Source organism: Homo sapiens, chromosome 15 (assembly GCF_000001405.40).
Source record: "Homo sapiens chromosome 15, GRCh38.p14 Primary Assembly".
Taxonomy (NCBI): Eukaryota; Metazoa; Chordata; class Mammalia; order Primates; family Hominidae; genus Homo; species Homo sapiens.
Window position 1 is genome coordinate 83,087,046 of NC_000015.10, and position 16,648 is coordinate 83,103,693.

General features: G+C 42.7%; 1 long non-coding RNA gene and 1 pseudogene across 1 annotated transcript; one reads left to right on the forward strand and one right to left on the reverse strand.

Moving 5' to 3' along the window:
* Positions 1-8,330: 8,330 nt before the first annotated feature.
* On the reverse strand, positions 8,331-15,080 carry LOC124903543 (uncharacterized). The gene is made up of 2 exons (XR_007064743.1): positions 14,264-15,080; positions 8,331-14,158 (listed from the first exon to the last, which is right to left on the reverse strand). It is a non-coding gene; the product is annotated as an uncharacterized LOC124903543 (long non-coding RNA).
* On the forward strand, positions 8,469-8,555 carry LOC124903588 (uncharacterized; annotated as a pseudogene).
* Positions 15,081-16,648: the final 1,568 nt, after the last annotated feature.

Genomic DNA, 16,648 nt, shown 5'->3' on the forward strand with positions numbered 1-16,648 from the left:
CTGCAGCTGGGCCACTTATTTGCTATAAGACCTTGGCCAATTTACTTAACCTTTCTGTGCCCTAGTTTCCTTACTTGGAAAATAGGAATGACGATAATAGTAACATGATCTACCTCAGAGGGTTAAATTAAAATGAGATGAATACATATTAGAACGGTGCCCAATGTAGGATAAGTGCTCAACAAATGTTAGCAAGTATTCAAAGAACCAAACCAATTTCAATACTGGCTGACAATTTCTGTATTACTCTTTTCCTAAAGTCTACCCTACAAGGATTTAATAATTTGACTTCACTTTTGATTAACACAAGATGCCTCATTTTTCAAATTTACATTTCTGTAATTGTTATTGTTTACATTTTTGTCATAGTTGTTTTTCTTCTTAATCCATTTTAACTGTCCAATTGTGCTTTTATTATTAGCTGTCTTACCCACTGCTTTGATACAGTCAAATATAAGATAAATAACTAAATTTAGGCCAGTTTATACCACATTATCAAGGCTGTTGTTGTGTCAATAAAAATAATAATAGGGCTCCAAGGACTGAAATTATCTGTCCCACATGTTCTGAATCTTTTAAATAATCTATGAAGACTAGGCACAGTTGCTGTGATTCTACTGCAGTGATATAAATATGACCTTCCACGAAAAAGCATGTCATGGCCAGAAGTAAAATTCAAAGCAGCAGGTTGGGTTTCAGAGTCTACGATGCTAGAATATGCTGCCTCTCTGGTTACAGGGAAATAAATATAGACCAGACTGATTATGTGAACACATTTTATTTAACTTTGCCCATCTTTACTCATTTCCCAGCCAACAGAAACTAAATCAACCCAGCTATAAGTAGGTCTGCTTATCTCTTTCCTTCCAGCCTCAGAAATTTCCCTTCTTTTCAAGGCTAAATTTTCCATCTTTGCTGTTGAGTTTATTCCCTTGCTGTCTTGCTAAATTACCTGTCCATTTTTTTTTCTTTTTTTTTTTTGAGACGGAGTTTTGCTTTTGTTGGCCAGACTGCAGTGCAGTGTTGCGATCTTGGCTCACCACAACCTCCATCTCCCGAGTTCAAGCAATTCTCCTGCCTCAGCCTCCTAGGTAGCTGCAATTACAGGCATGCGCCACCATGCCCGGCTAATTTTGTATTTTTAGTAGAGATGGGGTTTCTCCACGTTGGCCAGGTTGGTCTCGAACTCCTGACCTCAGGTGATCCACCCGCCTCAGCCTCCCAGAGTGATGGGATTACAGGCGTGAACCACCGTGCCTGGCCTGTCCATTTCCTTTCTGGTGACTTTGATGTCTCCATTTCCACTGGTTCCTTTCCTTGATATCCACAAATACATAACTAATTTCCCTAACAGAAAAACATCTCCTCAAAGCCTCTGCTTCAGCTTCTGAGTGTCTTCCTTTCTTCTTCCTTCCTATCAAAGTTTCTTCACTCCACATTTTCATCTCCTCACAGTCTTCATGCCGCTGTGGTCTGGCTCTGGCCACCACTCCCCTGAGTGGCTCTAAGGCCACTGGCTGGTGATCTCCTACCTGCCAAGTCCATGAGTCTTTTTCTGTCATGTTATTTGACCTCACTGGGCTTGGTGGTTGACCATTCACTCCTTGAAACTCTCCTTACCTGGAATTTGTAACACAGTTTTATAATTTTTCACACTTGTCTTTCTCTAATGTTTTCTTTTCAGTTTGCTGTATCACAACCTCCTCTTCTGCCCCACCGTGGGCACTGGTATTACCCATGCTTCCATCCTTGGCTGTCTACTTCCTACTCTCAACCCACTTTCTGCTTAATCTCATGGATTCCCATGATTTCAGCTAGTGCTGGTGATCTCCAAAGCTGTATCTCCAGCCCTGATCATTCTTAGCATAATACTTGTTTTGAATATTCAAACATCTAGAAATCTGTTGGTGTCCTACAGACATGTCAAACTGAACTGACTACATCTCCTTCCCTGGAGCCTCTTTCAATTCCTTGTAAGTAAATTTCTGCTACCTTAAAAAAAATCCAGCCAAAATCCTGGTAGTGAAGCGGGAAGAATGTCTGGCTGTCTGACGATAGCCTGTGGCCTCAACAGATCATTTATATAAGAATGTGACAGAAATGTGCTAGCTATGTCATACAGTTGTGTCCAGAGATGAGGGGAAAGAGTTCATCACATTCCTATTTCAGGGAATAACACCACCAACCAGTTAGCCACATGCTGTGGTAGAAACTAGCTAAGCCCCAGTTGCTATCCTGCTATCCTGGTCTACTCATCAATAGCTAGGTGAATTTGGGCAAGGATTTTTGTTTGTTTGTTTGTTTGTTTGTTTGTTTTTAATTGAGACAGAGTTTCTCTCTTGTTGCCCAGGCTGGAGTGCAGTGGCGCAATCTCAGCTCACTGCAATCTCTGCCTGCTGGGTTCAAGTGATTCTCCTGCCTCAGCTTCCTGAGGAGCTGGGATTACAGGTGCGCGCCACCACGCCCAGCTAATTTTGTATTTTTAGTAGAGACGGAGTTTCACCATGTTGGCCAGGCTGGTCTCAAACTCTTGACCTCAGGATATCTGGCTGCCTTGGCCTCCCAAAGTGCTAGGATTACAGGCGTGAGCCACTGTGCCCGGCCTGGGCAAGGTTTTAAACCTTGCTAGGTTTCTATTTCTTCTTCTGTCAAATGGGGATAATAACATTGTTGTTTACCTACCTAGGATAACATAAAAGATCAGATTGTTCAATTAGACTCACAGGACTCAGTAATCTTATCCAGTATTGGCCTTTACTGAGAATTCGAAAGATACACATGATATTGAGACTTGGGCCAAGCACAGAGATGCTGAGGACCACCAGTGCAGCTCCCGGTCCTCTCTCGCCATATTAGGATGCACCCTGGCACAAAATGGACATAGGAGGTTTTTAAGTGATGCATGCAGGATATAACTTACACAAAGAGGTCAGGAAACACCTTCGTTTTATACTTCAGTAATTACACAGCTGACAGATCAGCTATATCCTGGTAAATTATTGCATAAATAAGGGCTTTTTGTTATCTTTCTGATTGTAAATGCCATCAATAAGTATTTAGGAGATTGGGCCAGGTGTGGTGGCTCACGCCTGTAATCCCAGCACTTTGGGAGGCTGAGGTGGGCGGATCACAAGGTCAGGAGATTGAGACCATCCTGGCCAACATGGTGAAACCCTATCTCTACTAAAAATTAGCTGGGCGTGGTGGTGCCTGCCTGTAGTCCCAGCAACTCAGGAGGCTGAGGCAGGAGAATCGCTTGAACCTGGGAGGTGGAGGTTGTAGTGAGCCGAGATTGTGCCACTGCACTCCAGCCTGGCAATAGAGTGAAACTCTGTCTCAAAAAAAAAAAAAGCATTTAGGAGATTGACCTGGGTCAATTCTTTTTTCTTTTTGTCCCCTTTCCTCAGATGTTCTGAAGGTTGGAAATATGACTTACTACCATTACCTAACAGTTATTTCTTCTTCTTTCCTAGTTAATACAACCTGATTTCATTTGGGCCACAACATGTACAAAGAAGGAATACCTGTCCCCAGGCCTCAGAGAAAAGTCATGATTGATTGAAGCTTAGCCCGTTCCCCTGCTAGAGATTGCTTCTGAACTCAGCATGTGGCCAATTATGGCCAATGAGATGGAAGAGTCTGGAAGCAGGCTTTTGGAAAGATTCTTGTAGCCTAGTTAAAGATAAAATCCCGGAAAGGGAAAAGCCTTGTGTTGACAAGCTTAAGAGTGAAAAACCAACGTGTTGAGGAGGAGGATTAGGAAGACATAAAGAGGCCGGGTTCTTAATGACATCCTTGAGCCACTGCAGCTAAAAAGGAAACTTCTTTCTCCAGGATTCTTATGTCAGATTTTCAAATGTCTTCATGGCTTAAACCAGATTTATGCATTCTGTTACCTGTAACTTCATGTGTTCCCAGTGAAAACAGTACCTTGTAGAGTTGCTTGAGAATCAAGACAGGCACTGAAAGTAATGCGTCAAGCATACAACAAGTTTCTATCTTATAAGCACTACCCAACATCTTTTTCTCCTTTCTTCCCTGGTTTATAAAACTTGATTTTATTTGGGCAGCCACAAGCACAAGGAAGGAGGACCTTGTTTCCAGGCCTCAGAGAAGAACCCAAATAGGTCTCAGCATCTCTCAGTATACCTTAGTCCTTTTAGTTCCCTTTCCTTTTCCTTCTCCCAGCCAGCTGTCATCCCTAAATTCTTCTGTGGTCCATGTTTCTCAACATCCATTTAATCATCAAACTCTTAGATTTGATTCCTAATTAACCTTTCCTTTCTCCTTTCGTTGCAGCCGCCATAGTCAAGACCCGTTCATTTGTAGCTTAGATTACTGCTCTTCTCAGCTCTTTGCTGCCTAGTTCATACCCCCTCACCTCATTCTCTGTATATCTACCAGACTAAGCTACTAAAATGGCCAAGCTGAGCATGTCACTCCTCTGCTTAAAAGTTTCACTAGGATGGGCGCAGTGGCTCACACCTGTAATCCCAGAAATTTGGGAGGCTGAGGCGGGCAGATCACCTGAGGTCAGGAGTTCGAGACCAGCCTGGACAACATGGAGAAACTCCATCTCTACTAAAAATACAAAATTAGGCCGGGCGCAGTGGCTCATGCCTGTAATCCCCGCACTTTTGGAGGCCAAGACGGGCAGCTCACAAGGTCAGGAGTTCAAGACCAGCCTGGCCAGCATGGTGTAACCCCGTTTCTACTAAAAATACAAAAATTAGCCAGGCATGGTGGTGTGTGCCTGTAGTCCTCAGGAGGCTGAGGCAGGAGAATCGCTTGAACCTGGGAGGCGGAGCTTGCAGTGAGCCGAGATCAGGCTACTGCACTCCAGCTTGGGCAACAGAGTGAGACTCCATCTCAAAAACAAACAAACAAACAAACAAAACACAACAAAATTAGCTGGGCATGGTGGCAGGTGCCTGTAATCCCAGCTACTCAGCTACTCAGGAGGCTGAGGCAGGAGAGTCACTTGAACCTGGGAGGCAGAGGTTGCAGTGAGCCAAGATCACGCCATTGCACTCCAGCCTGGGCAACAAGAGGGAAATTACATCTCAAAAAAAAAAAAAAAAAAAAAAAGGTTTCACTAACCTTCCTCCCCCGGCCAGGTGGCTGGGAGTTCCTAGATTATGCTGTGGGATTATAGCGTCTGGGCCATTCTACCTGCTCTAACTACCTTTCTTCTGAAAGGCACTCTCTGCCCTGGTCTTTCAGGGTTCACAGTCTCTATCTAACTAGCCTGCCTCCCTAGCTGAATTAATCACTCTCTCCTGATGAGGTTCAGGACATGTTACCCCAAAAGATAGCATCTTGGCATTTGAGAAACAGCAGAATTAGTAAGGTCACTCTCACCTCCCTCTTGCCCTTCTTTGGAGTGAATCATAAAACCCTCACTCCAGAAGTACCCTTCCTATGTGCAGAGGAAAGGGGCATTAGGAACATCCTAATCCTGAAGAGACACCAAGAAGAATCTGAACAAACAGGACTTGCTGAGTTCCCCTCAGTTTCTTTCCATTAGATCACATCCTCTTTGTCTAATCATACTTCCTCATGACTACCCACTGGCTGGGGCTGGTCCTGGACTGATAAGTACACACTTGATCTCAGCCAAAGAGCAGAGAAGCGACGGACTGACCAAGTATAAGGAGGCTCCAGACAACATGCAGACACCCAGCAGCTGGCCCTTTTGCTTTTACACATCATTGCCCCAGAGAAACTCCTGAGCATGTACACAAGGCAAGCAGTACAAGGATGTTCACTACAACATGGTTTGTAGTAGTGAAAAATTTAAACCTAGCACAAAAATGTGCAAGTTTCTTTGTTTCTTTTTTTTTTCTTTTTCTTTTTTTTTTATTTTTTTATTTTTTAAGACGGAGTCTTGCTCTGTCACCCAGGCTGGAGTGCAGTGGCGTGATCTTGGCTCACTGCAACCTCTGCCTCCCGGGTTCAAGCGATTCTCCTGCCTCAGCCTCTCAAGTGGCTGGGACTACAGGCCCACGCCACCATGCCCAGCTAATTTTTGTATTTTTAGTAGAGATGAGGTTTCACCATGTTGGCCCAGATGATCTCGATCTCCTGACCTCATGATCTGCCCGTCTCAGCCTCCCAAAGTTTTGGGATTACAGGCGTGAGCCATCGCACTCGGCCAAGTTTCCTTGTTTCTTTGGGTCTTCATTTGGAATATAAGCCTGTTTGCTTAGTTTTTTATTTCCTCTCACTACTTCTGCCTCAAATCCTCTGGTGAAAAAGTTTTTGTCTCTAAGACCTTCAAACATACTAGATAACCTAATAATTTCATCTTTCTTTAAGGCAGCCCTCCTGCCCTAAGCAGGACTGTTTGTCATCCAGGCTTGCTGTACAGCTGTCACCCCATCAATGCTAGGGGACCCCTCAGCCTCACTCCTGGGCTGCAGCTCCTGTTTCCTGAACCCCACGTCTTCCTCTGCATCGTGTACTGCCTGGTTTTGGTGGAGTAAAGACCCTTGGGAGGTAGATTTTTTTTGAAATCTTGCATCTCTGAAAATGCTTCTTTTTTTGCTCCTCTTACCTGATAGTTTAATTTTTCAAGTTCAAATCTCAAACTATCTTCATTAGATAATCTGAGAACACTTCCACTACAAAACACCTAAAAATGCTGGATACAGGCTGGGTGCGGTGGCTCACACCTATAATCCCAGCACTTTGGGAGGCCGAGGCAGGAGGATCACAAGGTCAGGAGATCGAGACCATCCTGGCTAACACGGTGAAACCCTGTCTCTACTGAAAATACAAAAAATTAGCCGGGCGTGGCAGCGTGTGCCTGTAGTCCCAGCTACTCAGGAGGCTGAGGCAGGAGGATGGCGTGAACCCAGGAGGCAGAGCTTGCAGTGAGCCGAGATTGCGCCACTGCACTCCAGCCTGGGTGACAGAGTGAGACTCTGTCTCAAAAAAAAAAAAAAAAAAAGCTGGATAAAATAGAACAAAATCATTTAAACACACATCCAAGCATCCAAGAAAATAGGTAAAAGCCCCAGAGGCTAGGAGAAAACTAAACTCTGGGACCTAGAGTCTATGAGCAACGTGGCACAGCTCTAGGGAGGTTGCCAGCTCAGTAACCTGGAAGCTTGGTTTTTGTTTACACCAAGTTAGAAGAGCAGGCTTTGAGTTTACTGGATGCAGAAAATGGATACTGACATCTCTGCAGAGAGCTGGGGCTTTTAAAGGTGATGTGGGGATAAAAGGGTGAACTAGCAAAAAAATGTCCCTGCACACAGGGAGACAAGAATGAAGACTATACGTCTTGGCCTGGACTCAAAGTAGGGTGAAAACTCTTGCTTGTTAATTTGTGGCCATTGTATACCATTGTTTGAGATTTGAGTTTCTGCTACCAGCACATTCTGGAAGCAATGACTCCCCTTACCCATCTGATTCTTCTGGCAACACATAGCACCTTTTGTGGATGTCTGGTTTAGGTTAAAAGGTGTTGTCTGTAGCTGTGGATTAGGAGAATGTTTCTCAGAGTGTAGGCTGCAGACTACTTGTATTGGAATCTCTGGGGAACTTGTTAAAGATTCAGATTCTTAGGCCTCACCCTAGAGCTAACAAATCAGAGTATCTGGGAGACTACATTTTTAACAAGCTTCCCAAGCAGTCCTTGGACACACTAAAACTTGAGGCCACTTGATTAAAGCCAAGCTGAGTGACTCTTAAAGGGCCTTTGCTTTCAGAGCTCAGCAGGTTAGTAAAGGAACCGGCTGGAGCTGGTCCTGGACTGATCAAGTACACACTTGATCTCAGCCAAATCACAGAGAAGCGATGGACCGACCAAGTATAAAGAGGCTCCAAATAACGTGCACACACCCAGCACCTGGCCATTTCACTTTTAGGCATTGGTGCCCTGGAGAAACTCCTGAGCATGTGCACAAGGCGAACAGTACAAGGATATTCACTACAACGTGGTTTAGAGTAGTGAAACAACTCAGTGGCCCATTAGTGAGGGGAATGAAAAATTGTGGTATAGTCAATACTCTAACAGTGAAAATGAGTGACCAAATGTATAAAAATCAGTGGATTTCAAAAACTTAAGTGAAAAAAACATGTAAGGATATTATTTACATAAACTTTAAATTTTTATAAAATAACTATATATTGTTTATAGGTAAAGTATATAAATATGGGTTGATCATGCCCCAATTTCAGGAGAGTGATTGCTTCTACAGATGGAGAGAGAGGACCAGGACTGCAGAGGGGATTTCAATTTTGTTTTTTTTTAAAAGAAGCATATTTTCTGCTCACCCCCTGCCCTCACCTCAATTTTTGTCAGTTACTGTTCTTACAGGGTAAACGTTTATAAAATTTACATTTTATTTTGTAACTCCAAGTAAGTTTTCTATGTTTTGCCTATAATTGTTTCAAAAATTAAAAACTTTTAAATAGCATTTCAGCTTTGTGACTATGTAAATATTATTAACTAAATAACCAATTGTTACAGCTCTTTTAGAATTTGTCTAGCAGGTTTTCTTTTTTTTGTTTGTTTGTTTTTTGTTTTTTTTTACTGGAAAACCCCCATTAAAAAAAGAACCAATTAATATGACTGGAGCCAGGGAATATTAATAAATGTAAATCCTCATGCCATTTGAAATGTTGGTCCAAGGAAATCCTTTTGGGCATCTGAAAATGATGAATCCTCTTAATCTCTTGCTGGCTTCTTTCACTTCTTTGGGGTTTCAATTTCTTGTATCCCATGTTGTCCTTTTTCTTGGACCCTCCTTTAATTTTTGCTGGAAAATATGTTTGAATAATTTTGTCATCCAAGGAATATGAACAGTAAATGTTCCAAGTTCTTGTATGTCTGAAAATGCCCTACGATTGCCTTTACAAATAACTGGTACTTCGGCAGGGTTTAGATTGTACCAAGCTTTTCTTCCTTGCTAACTATGAAGATGTTATGTTATTCATTGTTGTCCAGGATCCAATGTTGTTCATGTCAGGTGAAAGTTCTGTTTCTTTTTCTTTCTAGGAAATCCCCAAGATTTTAAGATTTCCCATTTATATTTGGAGTTGTGAAATTGTACCAAGATGTGTCTGGATTTTAATTCAATTTGACGTATCTTTACTGATGGCTCCAGGGTGCAAGGCACTGTTCAAGGTGCTGGGCTTCATTAGGGAACAAATCAAAGATTCCTGCCCTCCTGGAACTTACATTCTAGCAGGGGAGACAGGTCATAAATAATATGCATAATGCATAAGACAATTATGTAGTGTGCTAGTATTATATAGTGCTATCAAAAAAAGGAATAAATAGAGTAAGGAGAACTGAGAATGCTAGTGAGGGAGGTTTAATCTTATTTTTTTCTTTTTATTGAGGCAGGGTCTCACTGTGTTGCCCCAGGCTGGAGTGCAGTGGTGCAATCATAGTTCACTGCAGCCTCCACCTCCCAGATTTGAGTGATCCTCCCACCTCAGCCTTCTGAGTAACTGGGACTACAGGTGTGCGACATCACGCCTGGCTAATTTTTAAATTTTTTGTACAGATGGGGTCTCACCATATTGCCCAGGCTAGTCTTGAAATTCTGGGCTCAAGTGATCCTCCTGCCTTAGCCTCCCAAAGTGCTGGGATTATAGGCATGAGCCACCATGCCTAAGAGTTTAACCCTTTTACCTTAATTTTGTTCAGTGAACACTTTCAGTCTTAAAGACTCACATATTTCTTGAGCTTAAGAAAATGTTGTTCTGTGACTTCTTTGGGTATTCTCTCTCTTTCATTTTCTCTGTTCTTTCCTAATCAGACAGATGCTGGATCTCTGTGTCTGTCCTTGGCACTCTCTTATGTTTGCTGTCTCTTTGTTTTTCTTGCTCTACATTCTGAGATTCCTTGATTCCAGATCAACTGCTTGGTCTTTCGCTGCATCCAATTTATTATTTGGCGCACTTATTGAGTGTTCCCTATTGCAATCCCACTTTTAATTCCCAAGAATCTTTTCTTGTTCTTTGCTTGTTCCTTTCCCATAGCCACCTCTTCTCAGTTCTTGAATGCAGCATCTTCTCAAATTATTCTGAAGATAGTGACCACAATTTTTATAAAATCTTTCTTTCCTAAATTATCTCTGTTTCCTCCAAGGTCAATTTTTCTATTGGTCCAACTTGGATCTTCTCTTCCATGCTGTTGGTTTTCCTAATATATTTGCAATCTTTGGTTTTCTGTTTACGTTGATGAATAAAGGACTATGTTCATTAGTATGGTAGTTTCCATGAGTGTCTTTGCAGAGATGTGTAAGTCACTGTTAGGCCCCTTCCTTGGCTGACAGAATCATCTGAGGGTTCTTTGTAAGTAGGTGGGGCCTATCAAAAGATAGAAACCCTTTTAGGTTGTCTGAAGGAGAAGCAAACAGTCAGGTTAGAGACATTCACAGTAGTTCAAGTGGGCTTTACCCTCCACTGAGGGGTAGATCTCTTTAGTATTTCAAACTGGGGTCTACTTCATTCTCAAGCCCTATACCCCGCTTCAAACACTCCATGAGCCACCCTGGGCAACATAACAAGATCTCGTCTCTACAAAAAATTAGCCAGGTGTGGTGGTGCAAGTCTGTAGTCCAAGACCCTGGAGGCTGAAGTGGGAGGATCACTTCAACTCAGAAATCTGAAGCTGCAGTGAGCTATGACTGCACAACTGTACTCCAGCCTGGGTGACAGAGCAAGACCCTGTCTCTAAAACAACAAAAAACACTCCTTAGGAAGTTTGCCCACTTTCTTTAAAAAGCAGTTTTCCTGATTAATCTTGAGTGTGAAAGCCATTGCTTCTAGTTACTACATGTTCATGCACAGAAGAGGGTAAGAGCTGACTATCTGAGCTATTCTCAGTGCTGTTCCTGAATGATCATCCAAAGTCTCCGTCTACTCTTTGCATTTGTTGATTCTGAGCTTGGACCTATCTCCCCTAGGAAGAATTCTGGTGCTTCAGTCTTAATCCTCTATTCTTTCTCCATTGCTGTTTTGTATTTTTCAGTTATCTACTGCTGCATAACCACCCCAAAATTTAGTGGCTTAAAACATTTAAAAAAGTATCATTTCTCATGTGGGTTGATTATGCAGTTGTTTTGCTTTATTTGGTGTTGAAAGGTTCATGACATCCTCCCATGGCTAATTTTTAGTGATACCTACTGGCTGGGATCTCAATTCAGGTTGTCAGCCAGGGACCTTAGTTCTTCTCCATGTTAGCCTTTCTACATGGCTGGTTGAGCTTCCTGACAGCATGGTGGCTTAGGTTCCAAGAAGGTGCATTCTAAGAGGATTAAACCCTAATGTACAAGCAGTTTTATAAGCCTCTGCTTACATTTCCTAATGTCTCACTGGCCAAAACAAACTACATAGCCAAGTTCACAGTCAAGTGGTAGGAGAGATGCTGTTTATTAGGGGCACCCAAAGTAACAGCACAATATTCTATGTATCCTTCACATTTTCTGGTTCACTAGTAGAACCCTTTCCTGTTTTCAAGTACTGTGTTTTTTCTTCTTTAAAAAATAAAACAGAGCTGAGATTGGTGGTGCACACTTGTAGTCCCAGATACTCAGGAGGCTGAGATAGGAGCATTGCTTGAGCCCAAGAGATCAAGGTCAGCCTGGTAAACATAGCAAGACCCTGTCTCTAAAAGAAAAAAAAAAATGTGTGTGTGCATGTATGTGTATGTATGAGAGATACATACCCAGGAACAGTCTAGATACTACAACAACACTGGGTTTTGATTTAGTTCTTACTCTAATTCACCTTTTCCATACAGAATGTCAAATTATCCATTTCTTTGCTTATCAAACCATTACATTTTATCCTTACTTATCAATACATAATATTTCTTCTTTCTTGCCAGCCACTGTAACTGCACACTTCCTCTTGCCTCATTTGTATTCAAGCTTTATTATATGAAATAATATTCATAGAGCATTGCTTGAAGGATATTCACCAATTCCCTTTGATCAGAGCTGGCAGATAGATTCAAGTTGGCATGGGAGAAGAACCCTATTAATGAGTACGGTTGGAAAGGATTATGAGGCAACGTCCAGTCTCAACGGGAAAAAGTTCAGTGATCATTTGGTGACGTTTGTCCTGGGCTTGGACTAGAAATGATGGTGTGGGTGCCAGGAAGGCATTTTCATCCCTTTTCCCAGATATTGTAAAATGTATCACTGAAAACAAGCCAGAACTTCAGAAAGTTGCTTTTCTGTATGTAATTGTTTTGACCACTTGAGTGTCCTGAGTGGCACTTGACAATATGCCAATCACCTGCCTTGAGGATGTTCTGGGAGACAATTGTTCAGAGTTTGATTCTATATTTATTGCAGAAATGTTGCTGAGGATAAACTATATGACATGGTGTTCCCTTTAAGAAGAGCCAGGGAAGAGTTTTTCTGAGCAACAGATCTGTTTTTATCTTATGGACACTGTGAATGTTACAACTGATTATGTTTCCCTCCTTGCTTTGGTTGCTAGGAAACCCAGGACAAAATTGCAGACCTCCTCTGGCAACTGCACAAGACCTTTGAAAAACATTTGACATGCTAACTTTACCTCTCCTGTCATTTTATTTTCATATCACTTTTTCTTTAGAACTCCTTCCTTCCCTCTCGATTTCCTTCCATCCTTTCCCCCGTTTTCTTTCTTCATCTCTCCTTTCCCCTCCTCAGTTAACATTAATTGTGCATCTGCTGTATGCCTGGCACCATGTTTAGGGGTTGGACGCACAGCCACCTTTACCCCCACCCCCCTTCAAACCCACGTTAATAATTGCAGCCCTAGTCACAGCACTCGGGGTTGCTGGAAAGACTTAGGGAGATACATGCACCGAGGGATTCTTCCAGAGTTTTTTTTCAGGTGGGCTGGGCCCTCCCTGGTTTCTTCTTCAGAGAGGATTCTAGTGACCTACACACTAAGCACATCACCCTTGCCCTGGTCTCTCTCAGATCATTTGTTCTGTCCCTATACACCCCATAGATCAATCTGTTTAATTGCCTCTTGCACATTCATCTAGAGTGGGTAGCCTTTCATGAGTACACAAATACAACTTTTATCAAAAAGATTTTTTGAAAAAGGAGAATGGAAGCATGTGATGAAGGGAAGAGAATGAATGTTCAGGAGCTGGGGGCTAAAGCATGAAAGCTGACTTCCACTTAACTTTTCCTGAAGATCATTAATCTGCCCAGCCCCACTCTTCCATTGTTCCTGCTTCCAATGTGACCAAGCTCCTCAAAGTTCTGCTTTCACTTCCCCTCTGTGGCAGAAACAGGCATGGTAAGGTGGGGGCTTTGCATTTAATTCCTGATTAGTCAGTTAAGTCAGTGATTTTGAATCTGCATTACAAAACACTGTGTGTTTCTCAGGTAATTGGCATTGTACAGCCTCTATGTTTCTATTTTTGCTTCCAGGAAGCTTGGAGTCAAATTCGATGCTTCGTCACAGCTGCAATATTAGCCTTCATGGCTTGCAAGATTGATGCTCCTTAAAAAGCAGAAAACAAAAATCAAAAAACATCTTTATTGTTTGAATGACTTTTTTTTTTCTTTTGAGATGGAGTCTTTCTTGCTCTGTTGCCCAGTTTGGTGTGCAGTGGGTATGATCTTGGCTCACTGCAACCTCGGCTTCCAGGGTTCAAGCAATTTTCATGCCTCAGCCTCCCAAGTAGCTGGGATTACAGGGTGTGTGCCACCATGCCCAGCTAATATTTGTATTTTTAGTAGAGATAGGATTTCACCATGTTGGCCAGGCTGGTCTCGAACTCCTGACCTCAACTGATCTGCCCACCTGGGCCTTCCAAAGTGCTGGGGTTACAGGCGTGAGCCACCACACCCAGCCTGAATGCCTTTTTAAAAAGCCATATACAACCCTTTTTCAAACAATGATTTTGAAATTGACCTACACTGAGCAGAACTTCAGACCTTAATCTCCTGGGCAATGAGTCAAATGATCAAATCAAAGCGTGTCCAAACACCATTGTCTAAGGTGCTGGGCATGGAGCTTTGCTGGGGGTCAGCTGTGATATCATGAGTCTAGCTACTTTAAGTCAGAAGATGTGAATTCAAGTTTGCCCTGTGTCTTCTTAGACACTTGAATTTGGCAAGTCATCTAACTTCTTTCAGCCCCAGTTTCTTCATCCATAAATGGCTCTATGTTCTTCAGACAGCTGTTGTGAGGATTACAGGAGATAGAATTGATGGAATTACTGTTTAATCTACAGAATACTATATTGTCACAAAATCGGATTATATTTGTTGGGTTTATGACTTACCCCAAAACCCAGGGAAGTTTCCTGTAAAACTGAAAACTTCTTCCCAACTGCAAGCCTTCCGACCACTCATATTTTCAGCGTTAAGAGAAACTTGTCAACAAAAATCATGTAGTCTCCAATACGCACATCACAATACCTCAAACACTGCCATGTCACTTGGGTCCCTTGTGGGCTGTAAGGGAGCAGCTCTCAGTGTTGGGCTGTTGGATGTTTCTGTTATTGAGTTCAGATGCCCATGGCTGTTCTGCTGGTGGCAAGGCTCACCGACCCCTCTGAAGTGGCTTCTGTTCACCATTCTCTTTGGCTCTCTCCTTTTCCTGGGACATTGATTCATTTCCTTTGTTTTAAGCCCCACCTCTTGCTAATGACCCCCAAACTCTCTGTAGCTTGTGCCTCTCTTGGTGCCACAGATGAGTATCCAAACAGTTGACAGCTCTTCCTGGGAGCCCCTGGGTACTGAAAAACCCACATGTCCACAACCAAAATCACCTCTAGTGCCCTCCTCCCAGCCGTCTCCAATTCCTATCTAGATCTTTCACACCTGTGTCCTCCTCTTCTCCTCTTCCCTCTCACTGCCATTGCCTTGGTTCAGGGCCCATCCTCTCTTGCCAGGACAATTGTAGGAGCCTCCTAATTGTTCTTTCTGCCTCCTATCCCTCTTCCTTGTAAACCATGGTCCATGCCAGCTACCAGACAGAGCTTTAAAGATGCTACTCTGATCAAGTCCATCCCTCCTCCCACTTATACGGTTTATTTTTTATTTTTCAGAGATGAGGTCTCATTCTGTTGCCCAAGCTGGAATGCAGTAGCACAATCATGGTTCACTGCAGCCTCGACCTCCTGGGCTCAAGTAATCCTCCCACCTCAGCCTCCAGAGTAGCTGGGACTATAGATGTGTGCCACCACACCTGGCTAATTTTTTGGCGGGGGGGTAAAGATGGGGTCTCATTATGTTGCCCAGGCTAGTCTCCAACTCCTGGCCTCAAGTGATCCTCCCCCCTCAGCCTCCCAAAGTACTGGCCACCATGCCCAGCCTCATATACAAATAATTTAAGATTCATAATCTTTTCTGATATTGAGCCCCTGATCCCTCTCCATCTTCACCTCCTGCCAGCCCCACTCACACACGACATCCCAGTATTTCCAACCAGCGCAAATTACTTGCACTTCATAAAGTGGCAAGCTCTCCCACACATTTCTTTCTGCCTTTAACATGTTTTGGCTCTGTTGCCTGGAAAGCCCAACCTCTTCTGTGTCTGTTTGGCCAGCTTCTACTTGTTCTTCAAGGCTAGTCTAAAGCCTCACTTCCTTCTGAGGCTTTTCTTGGATCCTTCAGACCAAATTTGCTGTTTCCTATAGCAATTGGCTTATATATTTTTTATTGCATTATATGGTAATTGTTTACATGTCTTTCTCATACTAGTCTGTGGTCCTCTTGGGCAATTTGTAATTCATCTTTGTATGCTCACTTCTTAGAATAATGACGGAAACACAGCAGACTGTCTGAGGATGTTTGTTGATAAAATGAATTGATTAGTGATGTAATTATCATATCTATTTTTACAATAGTAGCGAGCACAACTGAAGCCAGGTCAGTATGACAGGAGGGGTAAGTCTAGAGCTGCCATGTCCAGTACAGAAGCCACTAGCCACATGTGGCTGTTGGGCACTTGAAATAAGACTAGTCTGAGTTGAGATGTGCTATGTCAAATACACATGGGATTTTGAAGACTCAGAATGAAAAAGATTATAAACTATCTCATTAATATATTTCATGTTGATAACTTGTTGAAATGATAATCTTTTGGATATACTGGGCTAAATAAAATATATTATAAATTAATTTTACTGTTTCTTTAAAACTTTTTGATGTGGCTACAAGAATATTTAAAATTATACATGTGGCTGGGCGCGGTGGCTCACGCCTGTAATCCCAGCACTTTGGGAGGCCGAGTTGGGCAGATCACTTGAGGTCAGGAATTCAAGACCAGCCTGGGCAACATAGAGAAACCCCATCTCACTAAAAATACAAAAAATTAGCTGGGTGTGGTGGCGCACACCTGTAATCCCAGTTACTTGGGAGGCTGATGCACGAGAATTGCTTGAACCAGGGAGGCGGAGGCTGCAGTGAGCCGAGATCGCACCACTGCGCTCTAGCCTGGGCAGCAGAGTGAGATTAGGTCTTGAAAAAAAATTAATAAATAAAAATAAAATAATACATGCGGCTCACATTTGGGCTCACAGTATATTTCTGTTGAGCAATAATGATCTAGAGCATTCAATCACTGAACAAATATTTCTTTCTTTTTCTTTTTTTTTTTTTTTTGAGGCAGAGTCTTGCTCTATCACCCACGCTGGAGTGCAGTGGCATGATCTCTGCTCACT